The 17,856-nt window shown below is 41.6% G+C and overlaps 1 protein-coding gene across 4 annotated transcripts in view, besides 1 other annotated feature; it reads left to right on the forward strand.

The window, feature by feature from the left end:
* Nucleotides 1-17,856, forward strand: part of PAK2 (p21 (RAC1) activated kinase 2) — a 92,791-nt gene that overhangs the window by 24,534 nt on the left and 50,401 nt on the right. Inside the window, exon 1 of one of the 4 annotated variants that reach the window (XM_011512870.3) lies at nt 1,534-1,649. The exons of 1 other annotated variant lie outside the window; for it this stretch is intronic. The gene's annotated coding sequence lies outside the window, so the exon portion shown is untranslated. Of the gene's footprint in view, nt 1-1,533; nt 1,718-15,034; nt 15,181-17,856 lie in introns of those variants that run through there. 2 more of the 4 variants (XM_047448218.1, XM_047448219.1) reach the window with 2 other exon arrangements.
* Nucleotides 8,232-8,488: a silencer, noted in NCBI's record as "fragment chr3:196499493-196499749 (GRCh37/hg19 assembly coordinates)". NCBI's record gives its function as "represses an EF-1alpha promoter that drives an FKBP-Casp9 reporter gene in an ReSE screen in HepG2 liver carcinoma cells {active_cell/tissue: HepG2}" and the evidence as "EXISTENCE:reporter gene assay evidence [ECO:0000049][PMID:32094911]".

The raw sequence follows: 17,856 nt of genomic DNA on the forward strand, positions 1-17,856 counted from the left end.
AGATCACTTGAGGTCAGGAGTTCAAGACCAGCCTGGCCAACATGGTGTGAAGCCGCATCTCTACTAAAAATACAAAAAATTAGCCAGGCATGGTGGCGGGTGTCTGTAATCCCAGCTACTCGGGAGGCTGAGGCAGGAGAATCACTTGAACCTGGGAGGCGGAGGTTGCAGTGAGCCGAGATTGTGCCACTGCACTCCAGCCTGGGTGACAGAGCGAGACTCTGTCTCAAAAAAAAATAAATAAATAAATACAGATAGAAGTCAACTTTAAAGCTAATACCCAATTTCTAATTTAATTTAATTTAATTTTTTAAAATAGCGTCTTGCCACGTTGCCCAGGCTGGTCTCTAACTAGTGGGCTCAGGCAGTCCTCCCGCCTCACCCTCCCAAAATGTTGGGATTACAGCTGTGAGTCACTGCACCGACCCCAAATTTTCTTTTCTTTTCTTTCTTTTTTTTTTTTTTTTTTTGAGACGGAGTCTTGCTCTATTGCCCAGGCTGGAGTGCAGTGGTGCGATCTCGGCTCACTGCAAATTCCGCCTCCCGGGTTCACGCCATTCTCCTGCCTCAGCCTCCTGAGTAGCTGGGACACTACAGGCACCCGCCACCACGCCCAGCTAATTTTTTGTATTTTTAGTAGAGACGAGGTTTCACCGTGTTAGCCAGGATGGTCTCGATCTTCTGACCTCGTGATCCACCTGCCTCGGCCTCCCAAAGTGCTGGGATTACAGGCATGAGCCACCGTGCCCGGCCTTTTTTTTTTTTTTTTTTTTTTGAGACAGGGTCTCGCTCTGTCACCCAGACTGGAGTGCAGTGGCGTGATCTCAGCTCACTGCAACCTTTGCCTCCCGAGTTCAAGCGATTCTCTTGCCTCAGCCTCCTGAGTAGCTGGGATTACAGGCACACACCACCATGCTCATCTAATTTTTTTGCATTTTTAGTAGAGACGGGGTTTTGCCATGTTGGCCAGGCTGGGCTCGAACTCCTGGCCTCAAGCAATCCCCCACCTCCGCCTCCTGAGTAACTGGGATTACAGGTGCGAGCCACCGCATCCAGCCTGCCAAATTTTCTAAAGTAGTTTTGCCAGTTTATACTCCTGCCAGCTGTATATAAGAATTCTCTTTGTGCCATATTCCTGATAACACTTGATTTGAATCAGCCTTCTTGTTTTTTGCCAATGTAGAAGGTGTAAAATGGTATCTGCTAGAGGCCTTAATTTACATTTCATTAATGTCTGAGGTTGGACATATTCTTATGTATGTGTTCATTATTTGTCATCACTTGTGAGAATAGATAATACAGGTATTACTCCATTATATTGGTGGTTAAATAAAGGGACTAAAAGGAAGAGTGATTTGGCTTTCAGTATGCAACTTGATAAGTGGCAGTAGTTTATTTGCCTAGACTGGCTAACATTGTTTATTTGAAAAACACATTTTGAGTTTCTGTGATGTATATAACACTTTGCTAGGTGCTCCTTGAGAATAAAAAGAGCTATAAAATTAGTATCTTCTTTTTTTTTTTTTTTAGACGGAGTCTTGCTCTGTTGCCCAGGCTGGAGTGCAGTGGCATGATCTCGGCTCACTGCAAGCTCCACCTCCCGGGGTCAAGCGATTCTACCTCAGTCTCCTGAGTAGCTGGGATTACAAGTGAGCACCACCATGCCCACCTAGTTTTTGTACTTTTAGTAGAGATGAGGTTTCACCATGCTGGCCAGGTTGGTCTCGAACTCCTGATCTCATGATCCGCCCGCCTCGACCTCCCAAAGTGCTGGGATTACAGACATGAGCCACCATGCCTGGCCTCTTTTTTAAATTTTTATTTTTATATTTTCTTCTCAAAACTTAGTACCTTCTCACAAAGAGTAGAGTTCAGTAGAGGAAATATGATACATCATGGTAGCTGACAATAGAGGCATAACCTATAAATAATAGAGCTAATAACCCGGTCATAATCTGGTTAATGAGTGTTTGCTAACTGTGTAATACATATAATACAAAAAGTTACCATTATAGATACCATAATCTCTAAAGATGTAAGAACAGAACCAGTGCCAATTTACATTCAATTCTGTTCCGTATTTTGGTCTTCATTTAATTGTAAATGCAAATAAGGTGCATATGTCGTCTACAAAGCAAAAAAGTACAAGGATTTTCTTAAGTGATCAGTGGATGGCTATCTTACTACAAGCAGTATTGTTCATTCTTCATAAGCTGGTGATTTTATATAATTTACGGAGTTCCAAAAGCGAATATACCAAAAATATATATTCAGAGAAATCTAGGTTTTAACTTGGTCCCATCTCTCCCAAAGTAACTATTTTTTAAAATTTTGGTTCCTCCGCCAACCCCACCCCCGACCCATGCGGTAACTATGGATGGTGATGGATGTCTTAATTTGATTGTGATAATTATTGCACAGGATATATGTATATCAGATCATCATGTTGAATATATGCAATTTTGTCAATTATACCTCAGTAAAGCTGGGAAAAAATTATGGTTCTTCCATTTAAAAAAAAAATAGAAACAAGTACACCCCGTGTGTGTGTGTGTGTGTGTGTGTGTGTGTGTGTGTGTGTGTGTATTGATACACCTTCCCCCCATCTCTTTTGGTAAATGATAGCATCCCATATATATTTTTTTCTTCCAACTGGTTTTCACTTCATATATTATGGAGATTACTCCATGGCAGTATATGGAGCTATTTTCTCATTTGTTTTTATAGCTTCAAAATTATTTAGTGTAGAATGTTCTGTAGTTAGTTGAGCCATTCCCCTATTTATGGCTGTTTGAGTTACTTCCAGTCTTTTGCTGTTACTGATAATGCTACAGTGACAGCCTAGTGCATATATCTTTTTGTATTTTTGTGAGTATATCCTTTGGATAGATTTTTAGAAACGGGATATATGGGTCAAAAGGTATATATGTAGTCGGTACTCCTAAACACTGTGTTATATTGCTTTCCTATGACTTGAAAATTGTAGATTATTAAACCTATCCTCACAGAATTTTAGGAGGAAAAAATCAATTAATGCCCTGACTATAATAGAAAAAAAGAAAAGGCGAGCAATTTATAATGAAATACATGTTTTTTGTTTGTTTGTTTGTTTGTTTGAGACGGAGTCTTGCTCTGTCACCCAGGCTGGAGTGCAGTGGCATGATCTTGGCTCACTGCAACCTCCGCCTCCCGGGTTCACGCCATTCTCCTACCTCAGCCTCCCGAGTAGCTGGGACTACAGGTGACCGCCACCACGCCCAGCTAATTTTTTCTGTGTGTGCTTTTAGTAGAGACGGGGTTTCATCATGTTAGCCAGGATGGTCTCGATCTCCTGACCTCGTGATCCGCCCGCTTCGGCCTCCCAGAGTGCTGGGATTACAGGCGTGAGCCACCGTGCCCGGCTGAAATACATGTTTTTATTTGTAAATACTTGATCACAACTATACTAAAAGCCATTATGCAGTGACCAGAGACTTGTGTCTATACATAGGGGTGACCACAGTGCGGTCTCATCATATGGACTCTGCTGTTGGTGACTCAACCAGCATGAGCACAGTATTGCTAGTGACATGATTTCCAAAATTGTGAATAAACTTCTTGGTGAAGTCTGAGCCAAAGTACAAGCTCCTCTTGGTTCACATAGTGGTTGCATATCTGGAAAATTCAGTGTATGCTAAAACTGGAAAAATATTTTCATATGTGAAATAGAATTTTGTCCTCAGTTCAGATCATTATAAGTTTTAAAATGATAAATCAACACGTGGTGGGACACTGAGGAGTTGTGAGCACATTGCAAAACATCGGATACCTGTGGTCCCTGCTCATTGAATGCCAGCAGAACTGCTTTTCATTCCTAATCATGTTTATTTTTTACTCTCTTTGTTTTGATTAATTTTGCCGAGATATTTTACTAGTTTTGCCCAAGACACTATTTTTGGCTTTATTGATAGTCCTTTTTGTATATTAGTTTTCTGTTCAGTAATTTCTGATTTATCTTGATTATTTCCTTCCTACATTCTTTGGATTTATTTTACTGTTTTTTATACTTCTTAGGTTGGATGCTTAACTCGTTAATTTTTAGTTCTCCTTTATTTTATTTATATATGTATGTATGTATTTATTTATTTATTTATTTGAAACAAGGTCTCACTCTGTTGCCAAGGCTGGAGTGCAGTGGCAACCCCAACCTCCTGGGCTCAAGTGATCTTCCTGCCTCAGCCTCCCAAGTAGCTGAGATTACAAGTGCAAGCCACCATGGCCAGCTAATTCTTTATTTTTATTTATTTTTATTTTTGAGATGGAGTCTTGCTCTGTCCCTCAGGCTGGAATACGGGGTGAAATCTCGGCTCACTGCAACCTCCTCCTCATGAGTTCAAGCGATTCTCCTGCCTCAGCCTCTTGAGTAACTGGGATTACAGACGCGTCTCATCATGCCCAGCTAATTTTTGTATTTTTAGTGGAGACAGGGTTTCACCATGTTGCCCAGGATGGCCTCGAACTCCCAGACCTCAAGTGATCCACCGCGCCCAGCCCCCCAGAGTGCTGGGATTACAGGTGTGAGCCACCGTGCCCGGCCTACTTTTATTTTTTTACAGGGTCTTGCTCTGTTACCCAGGCTGGAAGTTCTCCTTTTTTGATGTAAACATTCAGAGCTAGCTGGGCACTGTAGTGCACACCTATAATCCCAGCAATTTGGGAGGCCAAGGAGGATGGATCAGTTGAGCCCAGGAGTTCAAGACCAGCCTGGGCAACATAGGGAGGCCCTTTCTCTACAGAAAATACAAAAATTAGCTGGGCGTGATGGTGCACGCCTGTGGTGCCAACCACTCGGAGGCTGAGGTGGGAGGATTACTTGAGCCCAGGAGGTTGCTGCAGTGAGCCGTTATTGCACCACTGCACTCCTGCTTGGGTGACAGTGAGTCTCAAAAAAATAATATAAATAAAAATTCAGAGCTGTAAGGGCTTCGTATCCTAGTTTTTTGTTGTGCTGCTGGTGAAATATACATAACATAAAATGTATTATTTAAGCATTTTTAGGTGTATAATTTGGTGGCATTAAGTATATTCAATGTTGTACAACCATCACCACCATCCTTTTCCAGAGCATTTTCATCATCCCAAGCAGCAATTCCGCATCCCGGCCAGGCGTGGTGGCTCACGCCTGTAATCCCAGCGCTTTGGGAGGCCAAGGCGGGCGGATCACGAGGTCAGGAGATCGAGACTGTCCTGGCTAACACGGTGAAACCCCGTCTCTCCTAAAAAAAAAAATACAAAAAATTAGCTGGGCGTGGTGGTAGGCGCCTGCAGTTCCAGCTACTGGGGAAGCTGAGGCAGGAGAATTGCTTGAACCTGGGAGGCAGGGCTTGCAGTGAGCTGAGATCATGCCACTGCACTCCAGCCTGGGCGACAGAGCGAGACTCTGTCTCAAAAAAGAAAAAGAAAAAGAAAAAGAAATTCCGCATCCATTAAGCCGTAACTCTGCATGTTGCACTTTGCCCCGTCTCTAATGACCTTTATTCTACTTTCTGTCTATGAATTTGACTAAGGTATCTCACTTGAGTGAAATTAATACAGTGTTTGTTAGGCCGGACATGGCAGCTCACACCTGTCATCCCAGCACTTTGAGAGTCCACAGTGGGAGGATAGCTTGAGCTAAGGAGTTCAAGACCAGCCTGAGCAACATAGTGAGACCTTGTCTCTGCTAAAAAGTTTAAAAGTTAGCTGGGGATGGTAGTATGCACCTGTAGTTCCAGCTACTTAGGAGGCTGAGGTGGGAGGATCACTGGAGCCCAGGAGGTTTAGACCGCAGTGAGGTCTGATCATGCCATTGTAATCCAGCCTGAGTGACAGAGTGAGACCCTATCTCCATTAAAAGTATATATATACAGTATTTGTCCTTTTGTGTTTGGCTTATTTTACTTAGCATATTATTTTCAGAGTTCATTTTTATTAATAATATATATCAGAATTTCATTCCTGAGCCAGTATGGTGGCATGTACCTGTAGTCTCAGCACAGCTACTTGGGAGGATCAGGTGGGAGGATTGCTTGAGTTCAGGAGCTGAAGGGCTGCAGTGCTGCCCTCTGATCATGCCTGTGAGTAGCCACTGTGCTCCAGCCTGGGCAACACGGCAAGACCCCATCTCTTAAAAAAAGAATTGTTTGTGTGTATATATGCCACATTTTGTTTATTCAATCCTGCAAGTTTTTTATATATAGTATTTTATTTTATTGTATTGTATTGTATTTTAAAGACAGAGTCCAGCTCTGTCTCCTACGCTGGAGTGCAGTGGCACCATCTCGGCTCACTGTAATCTCCGCCTCCCGGGTTCAAGCAATTCTCCTGCCTCAGCTTCCCGAGTAGCTGGGATTGCAGGCGCATGCCACCACGCCCGACTAATTTTTGCATTTTTAATAGAATCAGGGCTTCACTATGTTGACCAGGCTGGTCTCAAACTCCTGACCTCAAGTGATCTGCCCACCTTGGCCTCCCAAAGTGCTGGGATTACAGGCATGAGCCACCATGCCTGGCCTGAGTTTTTTATATATAGTCTTTAAATCTCCATTCAGTTCTAAATATTTTTCAATTTTCATTATGTCTTTTTTTAACTGGGGTTTGTTGGAGGTGTTTTCAAATTTCTAAACATGTATTTCTTTCCTAGTTATCTTTTTGTTATTTTAAACTTAATTGACTTTAAGAGTGTGTAGTGATTCTGGTCTTTTAAAAAAAACAATTGTCTCAATGTTTCTGTTTACCTCATTCTTAAAAAATAGTTTTGTTGAGTTTGCAGTTTATGTTGGCAGCTTCTTGTCTCAACACACTGATGATACTCCACTGTCTTCTTGCTTTCATTGTTGATATCAAGAAGTAAGCTGACCATTCAATTACTGCTTCTGTGAAATTTGTCTTTTTTTCTCCTTTGGCCAATTTTAGGAATTCTTTGTCTTTGATATTATTAATATCACTACGATGTGTCTACTTGTAGATAATTTTCTATCCTGCTTTTGATTCATTAGACTTCTACTTACAGATTTGTGTTCTTTATCAGTTCTGGAAATTTCTCAGCTATTAATTTGTTCAGTGGACCAGTCCTTCATTCTACCACCTTCTGGAACTCCAAGTAGTTGTATGTTAGACCATCTAATCTACTCATCTCCTCTTTCATATTTTCTTTTTCTGTTTTTTTTGAGACAGAGTCTTGCTCTGTTGCCCAGGCTGGAGTACAATGGTGCAGTCTCAGCTCACTGTACCTCTGCCTCCCAGGTTCAAGCAATTCTTCCGCCTCAGCCTCCTGAGTAGCTGGGATTACAGGTGCTTGCCACCACGCCTGGCTAATTTTGTATTTTTAGTAGAGATGGGGTTTCTCCATGTTGGTCAGGCTGGTCTCGAACTCCCGACCTCAGATGATCCACCCGCCTAAGCCTCCCAAAGTGCTGGGATTACAGGCGTGAGCTACCATGCCCGGCCTCCTCTTTCATATTTTCTATCTCATTGTCTGCAATGAGTTCATTAGTTCATTGTTCATTAATTCTGTCTAACACTATGTCTATGCTGCTTTTTACTTCAAATGTTGAGTTTTAGCTTTCATTTATTTTTTCTTATTGAAAGTTCTGTATGGTGTTTTCATATTCGCTCTATTCTGCTTTTATTTTCAAGCTGCTTCTATGTGTCCTTTGACACAGCATTCCATATCTGTGTTTTTCAGAGATTTTTCCTCCTCTTGCCATCACCATTTTCAAAATGCTAAAGGTTCTCTTGTTCCTTTCTGTCCAGAGGGATTTATTCCTGATTGGTTGTTATGTGCATTATAGCCTTTTTCAGGCCTAGCCTTATGTGGGAGGGACGCCTGTTAATTTTTCAACATTAGGCAGACTGGGTTTTACTACCTGTCCCCTGTGGCAGCCATCAAAGTGGAAGCATGAGGTCTCTGGGGTTTAGTCAGAATCCCTCGAGAATAAGTAGATTAGTAAATTGCTTACTCTTTTTGAGTTCCTGGTTTTGCTTTGGTTTGGGCTCTATGGAATCATCCCTCTTATTTTACTAGCCCATCCATGCATTTAAAAAGACTTGATACGTTATCCAGACCTTTATCTTAGAGTTTGAAGCGAAGTTTTAGTTTCCTTCTTTTTTACCAGCCTCCAGATTGTGTTTTCTGCATCTCTTTTCTCGCTTTCCCTCTTTTCTTTCTGGATTTGCTACTAGTGGGACTGATGTTATGGCCATTGTCACCGTCACCACATGAGAACACTCTTGCTTCAGAGTTGTGAACCTTCTGTTTAGAGTGTGTGTTGTCATCTTCAGGTGATTTGGAAATGTTTTCATTCATGCTTCTGCTCTCAAAGACATCTGAGGCTCTTTTGTGTTTTTGACGGGGCAGGTGGGGAGGGAAGGGCCACTGGTGTTGGGCTCTTGCAGCTTATTGAGAGATTGTTGAAAGTCTGGGTGATTAATTAGTGTTACTGCATTCATAATGTACTGAAAAATTAAGGCTCACTTGTTATTTATATAAAAAGTAAATAAAAATGCTTTTTAAATCATTGTGTTTTTCAGTAATAGATGGTTTACACTTGGAGTACTGTAGTTGATCCCAGCAGATAATAGTAAGTTTAGTAATCTCCACTATTTGGGCTGACCGGTTCCAGATACCACTCCGCTGTTCGTTTCTGCTGTATATTTAGCCACCCCTAGTCTCCTTCAGCAGACAATTGAGGAATTGTTTGTGTTTGAGTCGTGTCACAGTTAAACAGTGGGCCTCTTAGAAGAGTACAGTGTGTTTTGGGCACACTTTTTGTTTCGCCTACTTGTTTTTCACTGAAAAGTAGCAAAAAGTGTTTGAACAGATTTAGAGAGAGGCACTACTTACCGTTTGCTCTTTTTTTTGTAAAACATTTGTTACTAATGGTTAAGCAAAACATAAGGTAAATCAGTATTTTACCATGAATTATTTTTATACCTAATATTGTTTTTGGCTAACATATAAGATGAACATAAGGAACCTTATCACAGTCTCATTTGGTACTTTTCAGGCATTTGACACTGTCAGAAGTAGCAATTCACACACAAAAAATACTGTTTTATGGAAAAGAGAACTGAAGGTCATGAATCAGCTGTGAGGGGAAAAGTATAAATCTTTCTAAATATATTTTTGTTAATATGGGGTAGTTGATGTTGTCTAGTGCTGTTTGATTAAGAAAACAAGTTCAGGCCGGGCACAGTGGCTCATGCTTGTAATCCCAGCACTTTGGGAGGCCGAGGTGGGTGGATCACCTGAGGTTAGGAGTTTGAGACCAGCCTGACCAATATAGTGAAACCCCATCTCTACTCAAAAATACAAAAATTAGCCAGACGTGGTGGTATCCGCCTCCCAGCTACTTGGGAGGCTGAGACAGGAGAATTGCTTGAATCCAGGAGGCAGAGGTTGCAGTGAGCCAAGATCACGCCACTGCACTCCAGCCTGGGCGACAGAATCTCAAAAAAAAGCAAAACAAAACAACAAATTCAATTAGCCGGGCGTGGTGGCGCACTCCTGTAATCCCAGCTACTCGGGAGGCTGAGGCAGGAGAATCCAGGAGGTAGAGGTTACAGTGAGCCGAGATCACGCCACTGCACTCCAGCCTGGGGACAGAACGAGACTCCGTCTCAAAAAAAAACAACAACAAAAAAAATCTGTGGACACAGTATGGTACCATAAATCAGTAAACATTGCCTAATACATGCACAGTACCTGCCTTTGAATTGCTTGAGGTCTTAGGTAGGAAAAGCAGATAAAATAACTAAGGGTTTATAGTTGTAATTCATTGCCGAAGAATGGCCCAGTATATTAGCATAAGTAAGAAAAAAGAGCCTGAGATTCAGAGTTGTTAGGAAACTTGAGTTCTAGTCTTAGTTCTGTTAGTAATTAGATTTATGTGCCTTTAGGCTAACCACTTACTTTTGGGTAAGTTGGTTTTTTTTCACATATAAAACAAGGCAGATGGACTAGATGACTTAATCCTTTACAATCTTAATACCGTGTGAATTTGTTTTCCTGTGTAACTCGAGTTTAGAGGATGTGAGGGATCTTTTTGGGCAAGGACTGACCTCAGGAAGGAAATCATTTTCACTAAGCCTTGAAAGATTTGGTTGGGTAGATAAAAGGAAAAAGAAAAGCTAAGAATGCAGAAATAGATACATAAAAATTATTTAGGCCAGGAAAGTCTTTGGTGTATTTGAGGAATATGAGGCATAGGATTGACATGGTGCAGTCACGTGAGATGAAATTGACTCAGCAGTTCAGAGTTCAGTGGCCCTAATGCCAGAGTTTAGTCCTCAGTCTGTAGGTTATGGGCAGCTAGTCAGGACGATGTGTAGCCAGGGAGAGTCATAGCACTTGTTACCTTTAGTCAACTTCTGCATGATAATTAAGGTATATTTAACCAATTCTGACTTCTTTCTCCCAACAAAAAAACTGAACACAGAGAAACCCTCTAGGGAGCTAGTTATTAGGTGGTGCAAAAGTAATTGCAGTTTTTGTCATTACTTGTAATAGAAACTACTTTTGCACCAACCTAATAGAATTTCTTCCACTCAACAACAACTGAAAACATAGAGACTGAGAGAAATCCAGAGATGATGTGGTAAATCCCCAGCTAAGCAGCTGGTAGAGGCATCAGTATTGTATCCAAGGCCATGCTTATATTTATTGAGATCTAGTCACTCGTGGTATATTAGAATTGTGGCGGCATGGTTGTCATCTTGAATAATTTCATTAGGGACATCTCTGACTCAAGTTTACTATTAAATTAGGGTTTTGTTCAGGCAAGTATTGCTTAAAGGGTACGTCATGTTAATTGGAATTTCCTTGAGACAGCTCATTCAGCATGATAGTGTGTAGTCACTAAAAAGTTCCGAAAAACACAACGCTGTGGTTCCTCTTTAGTTCTATTAGACTGAGTATGTACAGAACATAAGTTACTGCATAGTATACTAACATTGAACAGTAGAAAAAATATTTATTTATTTATTTTTTTTGAGACGGAATCTCACTCTGTGGCCCAGGCTGGAGTGCAGTGGTACGATCTCGGCTCACTGCAAGCTCCGCCTCCCGGGTTCAAGCAATTCTCCTGCCTCAGCCTCCCGAGTAGCTGGGACTACAGGCGCCCACCACCACAACCGGCTAATTTTTGTATTTTTAGTAGAGACGGGGTTTCACCATGTTGGCCAGGATGGTCTCGATCTCTTGACCTTGTGATCTGCCCGCCTCAGCTTCCCAAAGTGCTGAGATTACAGGCGTGAGCCACCGAAGGATAACCAAAATGTAAGGAAAGGCTGTGTTCTGAAAGTTGCTGTGTAATGTCATTTGCTTAGAATTTAGCATTGCTTCTCATGAATGAAAATGTCTCTCTGGCTCAGCCGTGAAAAAGCCTTCTGACCTTTCTGATACTGTAATGAAAAGCAGTATGGTAAATACCATTGCATGCATTTGGGTTTTCAACATGTTAAGGATTGAAGAGGTTTCTGTACCCTAGCTTGGAAATCTAGCTGTTGCTTATTTGTTCTGTTAAAATGTGTTCTGTCGAGTATAAGATGAAATAAATATGAGTCTTCTGCCACCTCCGTAAAACATCAAAGCATTTGGGGTATGTAGGTGAAGGGTAAAGATGGAGTACGCTTTAAAGCAGCAGTTCTCAAAGTGTGGTCTGCAATACCGTGGGGGAGTCTGATGTCAAAACCTTTTTCCGAATATTCTTAACACATTATTTGCTTTCACACTGTGTTGACGTACGGATTGATGGGGCAAAAGCAGAAGTGGGTCAAATTGCTCGTTACTTTAACCCATACCAAGGCCATGGCCAAGTGCTTGCAGTAAAGTGCCAGTTTCACGTAATAATATACTTAATGGAACAATAAAGTTATTGATCAAGTATTCTATATAGCAAAATGGGAAGTACTCATAAGGTACTTCTGCGTACCAAAGTATGAACCGTTGTCTTGGAGATAACCACTTCTGCAAGAGAGCTAAACTAGCCCTCTGTTTCATGCAACACCTTTTTTTATTTGGAAGAACAACTGACCCACAAATTCCGGTTGTTCAGACTTCGTATTTTGCGGACATTTCCTCAAAAATAGTGACAGAATTTGTTGCTACTGACACAATTTAGGCTTTCAATCAAAAATCAGAGTTTTAGAAAACTTGTATCCACTATGTTGATTTTAGCAGTTTCTCAGCGCTTGACTTACTCTGATGACATAGATGGTGATATTAATGAATGTGGTTTTATTTTTACTGCATAACGAGATGTGTCAACATTGGGAGTATCTTCAAAACCCAGGGAACCAATATTTTCCAAAAACCAATTCATGACATTGTAAAACTTCTGCATGGGTAACAGATTCATTCAAAATTCAAGAGAGTCAATTGGTTTAATGTAATAGGGTACAAGAAGATTCATTGCTGTGATTTCAGATTCCACAATGAACCTTTTAGGAAGGTCAGGTTTAGTGTAATACCAAAGAAGAAAATCCACAATTATGTGAAAGCTGTTAAAATGCTCCTCCGTTTTCAGGTGGGTATCTGCGTAAGACAAGATTTTTTTCGTAAATTTCAGCTAAAACAACTCAGCACAACAGATTGAATGCAGAAGCAGATCTGATCATCTGGCTGTCTTCTACCACACCAGACATGAAAAAGACTTGCAGAAATGTCAAAGAATATCAGTCTTCTCACTCAACTTATTTTGTTTTGGAAAATAGTCATTTTTCATAAAAATGTATGACATGTAATGGGTTTGTTGTTATTTTTAAATGAATTATTTAAACAACTTGGTTTTTTTTGTTTTGTTTTGTATTTTTGAGGCAGATTCTCACTCTGTCACCCAGGCTGGAGTGCAGTGGCATGATCTTGGCTCACTGCAACTTCCGCCTCCCAGGTTCAAGCTATTCTCCTGCCTCAGCCGCCCGAGTAGCTGGGACTACAGACACGCGCCACCACGCCCAGCTAATTTTTAAATTTTTAGTATAGACGGGGTTTCAGCATGTTGGCCAGGCTGGTCTCGAACTCCTGACCTCAAGTAATCCCCCGACCTTGGCCTCCCAAAGTGCTGAGATTACAGGCGCGAGCCAACATGCCCAGCCAAAAACTTGTTTTAATTTCTCATACAGTAAGTATATATAAACATAACCCTCATCAACAAAAACTCTTTGGACTCTTCATTAATGTTGACAAGTGTAAAGGGTCTTGTGGCCAAAATGTTTTGAGAACGGCTACTTTGAAGGAGCTGAGTAGCTTTAATATGCCTGTGTTGAGAGCAGATACCAATAAAGGGAATGCCTGACCTAACTTAAAACAAGTACGTGTTGGTCTTTCTCCAGGTTATGAACTCTTACAGAGGACTCAGGTCGTCTTTTATTTTCTCTAATGTCTAGCACAGAGTCTTATAAATAGTAATGATGATAACAATTGCAGCAGCTTTTAATCTTTGTTAGCTCATTTAATCTTTATTCTGTGAGTAGATAGTGAGATATAATTTGCATAACCAAAAATTCACCATTTTAAAGTGTACAATTGAGTGGTTTTAGTGTATTCACAGGGCTGTGCAGCCATCTCCACTGTCTTCATACCGGAACATTTGCGTCCCCCAGAGAAACTTGATACCCATTAGGAGCCCCATCTCATTTCCCTCACTCCTTAGCAACCACTCACTAATCAGCCGTGTTTATGAACTAAATTCCTCTCTGTCTCTGTGGATGCCCCTGTTCCGGACATTTCATATGAAACGGAATCCTACAATATGTGGCCTTTTATGGCTTTTTTCACTTAGTGTTCGAGGGTCATCCATGTTGCAGCGTGTATCGGTACTTCTTTTTGCGGCCAAACAATATTCCATCTTATGGATACACCACGTTTTGTGTATCCGTTCATCAGTTGATGGATATTTGGGTTGTGTCTATCTTTTGGCTGTTATGAATGCTTCTGTGAACATTCATACAAAGTTTTTGCGTGAACATGTTTTTCAGTTCTCTTGGCTATATACCTGGGAGTGGAATTGCGGGGTCGCATAGTAGCTCTATATTTAATTTTTGAGGAACTTACTAACTCCCTTTTTAATAGAGTTTTTATTAGGGGATAATTTTAGATTTACAGATGAATTGCACAGATAGTAGATTTCCTGTATACCTATCACCCGGCTTCCTCTAATGTTAACATCTTACATAACCGTGATACGTATGTCAAAACAAAGCAGCCAACATTGGTACCTCACTGTTAACCAAATTCTAGGATTTATTTGGATTCTACTAGTTGTTTCACCAGTGCCCCTTTTCTGTTCCAGGATCCAATCCAGGGTGTCACGTTGCGTTTATGGTTGTGTCTCCTCTGATCTGTTACAGTTTCTCAGTCTTGTTTTTCGTGTCCTTGACAGTTTGGAGGAATGTAGTGGTCAGGAGTTTTGTAGCATATCCCTCAACTGGGGTTTGTCTGGTGTTTTTCTCGTGATTAGGCTGGGGCTGTGGGTTTGGGGGAAGAATACCACAGAGGTGAAGTGTGCGTCCCATCACATTAGATTAGGGGATAAGTAATATTGTCATGACTTGTCGCTGGTGATGTTAACTGTGGTCACTTGGTTAATAAGGCATGTTTGCCAGGTTTTTTCACTGCAAAGTTATTTTTCCCTTGCCATACACTGTTCTTTGGAAGTGAGTCACTAAGTCCTGCCTTCACTCAAGAGGAGACAAGGATTAAGCTGAAACTCCTAGAGGGAGACATATTTACCTATTTTATTTGCAATTCTTCTGTAAGAAAGATTTGTTCCTTTTCTCCCATTTATTTACTTATTCATTTATTTATGTCAGTATGGAATAACATACTTATTTGATACTTTGGGTCGTAATCTAATAGTATACTAATTTGCTCAAATCATCCCAGCATTGGCCTATGGAAAATCTTTCCTGTGTCCCTTTGGCATTTCCTCATCCTTTTAAAGTGCTCCCTTGCCTTCTGACACTACAGCGTGCTCTGGGCTCATCTTCCATTTTCCCTTTCCCATGCCTAGAGTCAGCCATTCCTTCAAGGAGTCATGAGACGTGGTGAAGTGTAAGTCGGTGGTGGAAACAGGATTCCATGCAAAGCAGTCTGATTCTGGAACATATGCTGTTAACCAAAAAACTGGATAACATGCAGCTGATTTATTATTATTATTGAAGGTGCATTGGCAGTTTCTACTCACATTCCATCTATGTGGGAGCCTTGAGGAAAGAATTTATAGCACTTTACACTAATTATTGTGCCCTGTTTTTGTTGTTGTTGTTTTTTGTTTTGTTTTTGAGATGATGTCTCACTCTGTTACCCACGCTGGAGTACAATGGCATGATCTCAGCTCTGCAACCTCTGCCTCCCGGGCTCAAGTGATTCCTCTGCCTCAGCCTCCCGAGTAGCTGGGACTACAGGCGTGCGCCACCACACCTGACTAATTTTTGTATTTTTCGTAGAGACAGGGTTTTACCATGTTGCCCAAGTTGGTCTCGAACTCATGACCCCAAGCAATCCGCCCACCTTGGCCTCCTAAAGTGTGGCGTGAGCCACCGCGCCCAGCCGCAATGTTGTTACTAAGCTTTGTCTTTCTTCTGTCTGTAGCAAGACAGGGCCCCTCTTGTAATGCACACTGGTAGTAGCCCATACTTAGGAATAGCCAGCTGCATGCTGCTTGCATCCTACCCCAAAACAAAACAAATCCCGCATGATGTCATGAGCTGGTTAGGAAGAATCATTTTAGGGCATGTTGTCAGCACTGCCTTAGATCCTGCCCTCATTTCTTCCTTAGACCAGACAGCCTTTTGCACACAAAGATAGAGATCTTTTTCACTCCCTTTTCCCAGCCCTTCTCTAGCTAGTTACCCCCTCTCTTAGTCTGTTTTCATGCTGCTGATAAAGACAAACCTGAGACCGGGCCATTTACAGAAGAAAGAGGTTTAATTGGACTTACATTTCCATGTGGCTGGGGAAGCCTCACAATCATGGCGGAAGGCGAGGAGGAGCAAGTCACGTCTTACGTGGATGGTGGCAGGCAAAGAGAGAGCTTGTGCAGGGAAACACTTCTTTTTAAAACCATCAGATCACGTGAGATGTACTCCCTATCAGGAGAACAGCACAGGAAAGACTTGCCCTCATAATTCATTTACCTCCCACCAGGTCCCTTCCATAACATGTGGGAATTCAAGATGAGATTTGGGTGGGGATGCAGCCAAACCATATCACTCCCAGAAATGTTTTTGCTCCTTTACCTTTTTTTATTCTTTCTCTTTTGTAGAATGAAAAAATAATCATTTTGAGAGCGAAAATATACCATAGTGCTAGTGACACACTCCCATCAAGGAAAATAAAAGCTGTAAGATTTGGTATAAGCTTCTCAAATTTTTTTATTTTATTTTATTTTATTTTTTTGAGACAGAGTCTTGCTTTGTCGCCAGGCTGGCATGCAGTGGCGCAATCTCGGCTCACTGCAGGCTCTGCCTCCCGGGTTCACGCCATTCTCCTGCCTCAGCCTCCCAGGTAGCTGGGACTACAGGCGCCTGCCACCACACCTGGCTAACTTTTTGTGTGTTTAGTAGAGACGGGGTTTCACCATGTTAGCCAGGATGGTCTCGATCTCCTGACCTCGTGATCCACCCGCCTCGGCCTCCCAAAGTGCTGAGATTACAGGCATGAGCCATCGTGCCCAGCTAATCTTCTCAACTTATACCTACTTTTCTTCAGGTATAAGCATTCAAATGAAATAAAAAATTTGTTTTTAAGTTCTGAACAGTTAGCATTCTTTTCATTGTATATATGCAAGGTTTTGTTTGCTTAAATGCATTAAATAATCTTAGAATCAAATTAAGATCCAGTTACCAATGAAAACCATGTTTAGTGGGAAAATATGTTGTTTTCTAACATATGGTTTTGTATCAGAACTCATATGTATAAGTTACGGATCCTCTCCCTTTTACTGCTGATTTCAAGTATGTGTCATCTACTTTTTTAAAGACTTAAACCTAGAAGTATGGGTAGCAGGGTTGAAGTTTTCACTGAATTAGCCATGTAGCTAAGACAGATTACCCAACTGCCTGGACAGGGCATTTACAGGTGTCACAGAACCTGAGGGATGTGGCCACACTCAGCCTTTCAGCCATGCTCTGTGTTTAATTTTGTCAGTATATCCAGATTCGTCAAGCTCCTTTGTGATTATCTGCAAAACTCAAAAGACTAATGTGTGTAAATTAGGATGTCAAATTTTCAGAGACCAAATACTGTATCAGCAGTGCATTGTTTCAAGATTCCTTGGCCAGGCGTGGGGGCTCACGCCTATAATCTCAGCAATTTGGGTGGATAAGGCGGGTGGATAATTTGAGATCAGGAATTCGAGACCAGCCTGGGCAACGTAGTGAAACCTCATCTCTACGAAAAATACAAAGATTAGGCTGGATGCCGTGGCTCACACCTATAATCCCAGCACTGTGGGAGGCCAAGGTGGGCGGATCACCTGAGTTCAGGAGTTCGAGACCAGCCTGGCCAACATGGTGAAACCCCGTCTCTACTAAAAATACAAAAAAATTAGCCGAAAGTGGTGGCATGCGGCTGTAATTCCACCTACTCAGGAGGCTGAGGCAGGAGGATTGCTTGAACCTGGGAGGTAGAGGTTGCAGTGAGCTGAGATCACGCCACTGCACTCCAGCCTGGGTGACAGAGCGAGACTCCATCTTGAAAATAAATAAGAATTTTTTAGGAAAGTTACTGTGAAGGCTAAGTTGTAACTACAAGGTTGGAGTGAAATCAGATTGGAGGGGTGCTGTTTGATACCCTTAATAGCCAAGCATCTGTCTCTGCTCTAGAGGTGCACCTCC

The sequence above is a fragment of the Homo sapiens genome, chromosome 3 (assembly GCF_000001405.40).
Source record: "Homo sapiens chromosome 3, GRCh38.p14 Primary Assembly".
NCBI classification, from domain to species: Eukaryota; Metazoa; Chordata; class Mammalia; order Primates; family Hominidae; genus Homo; species Homo sapiens.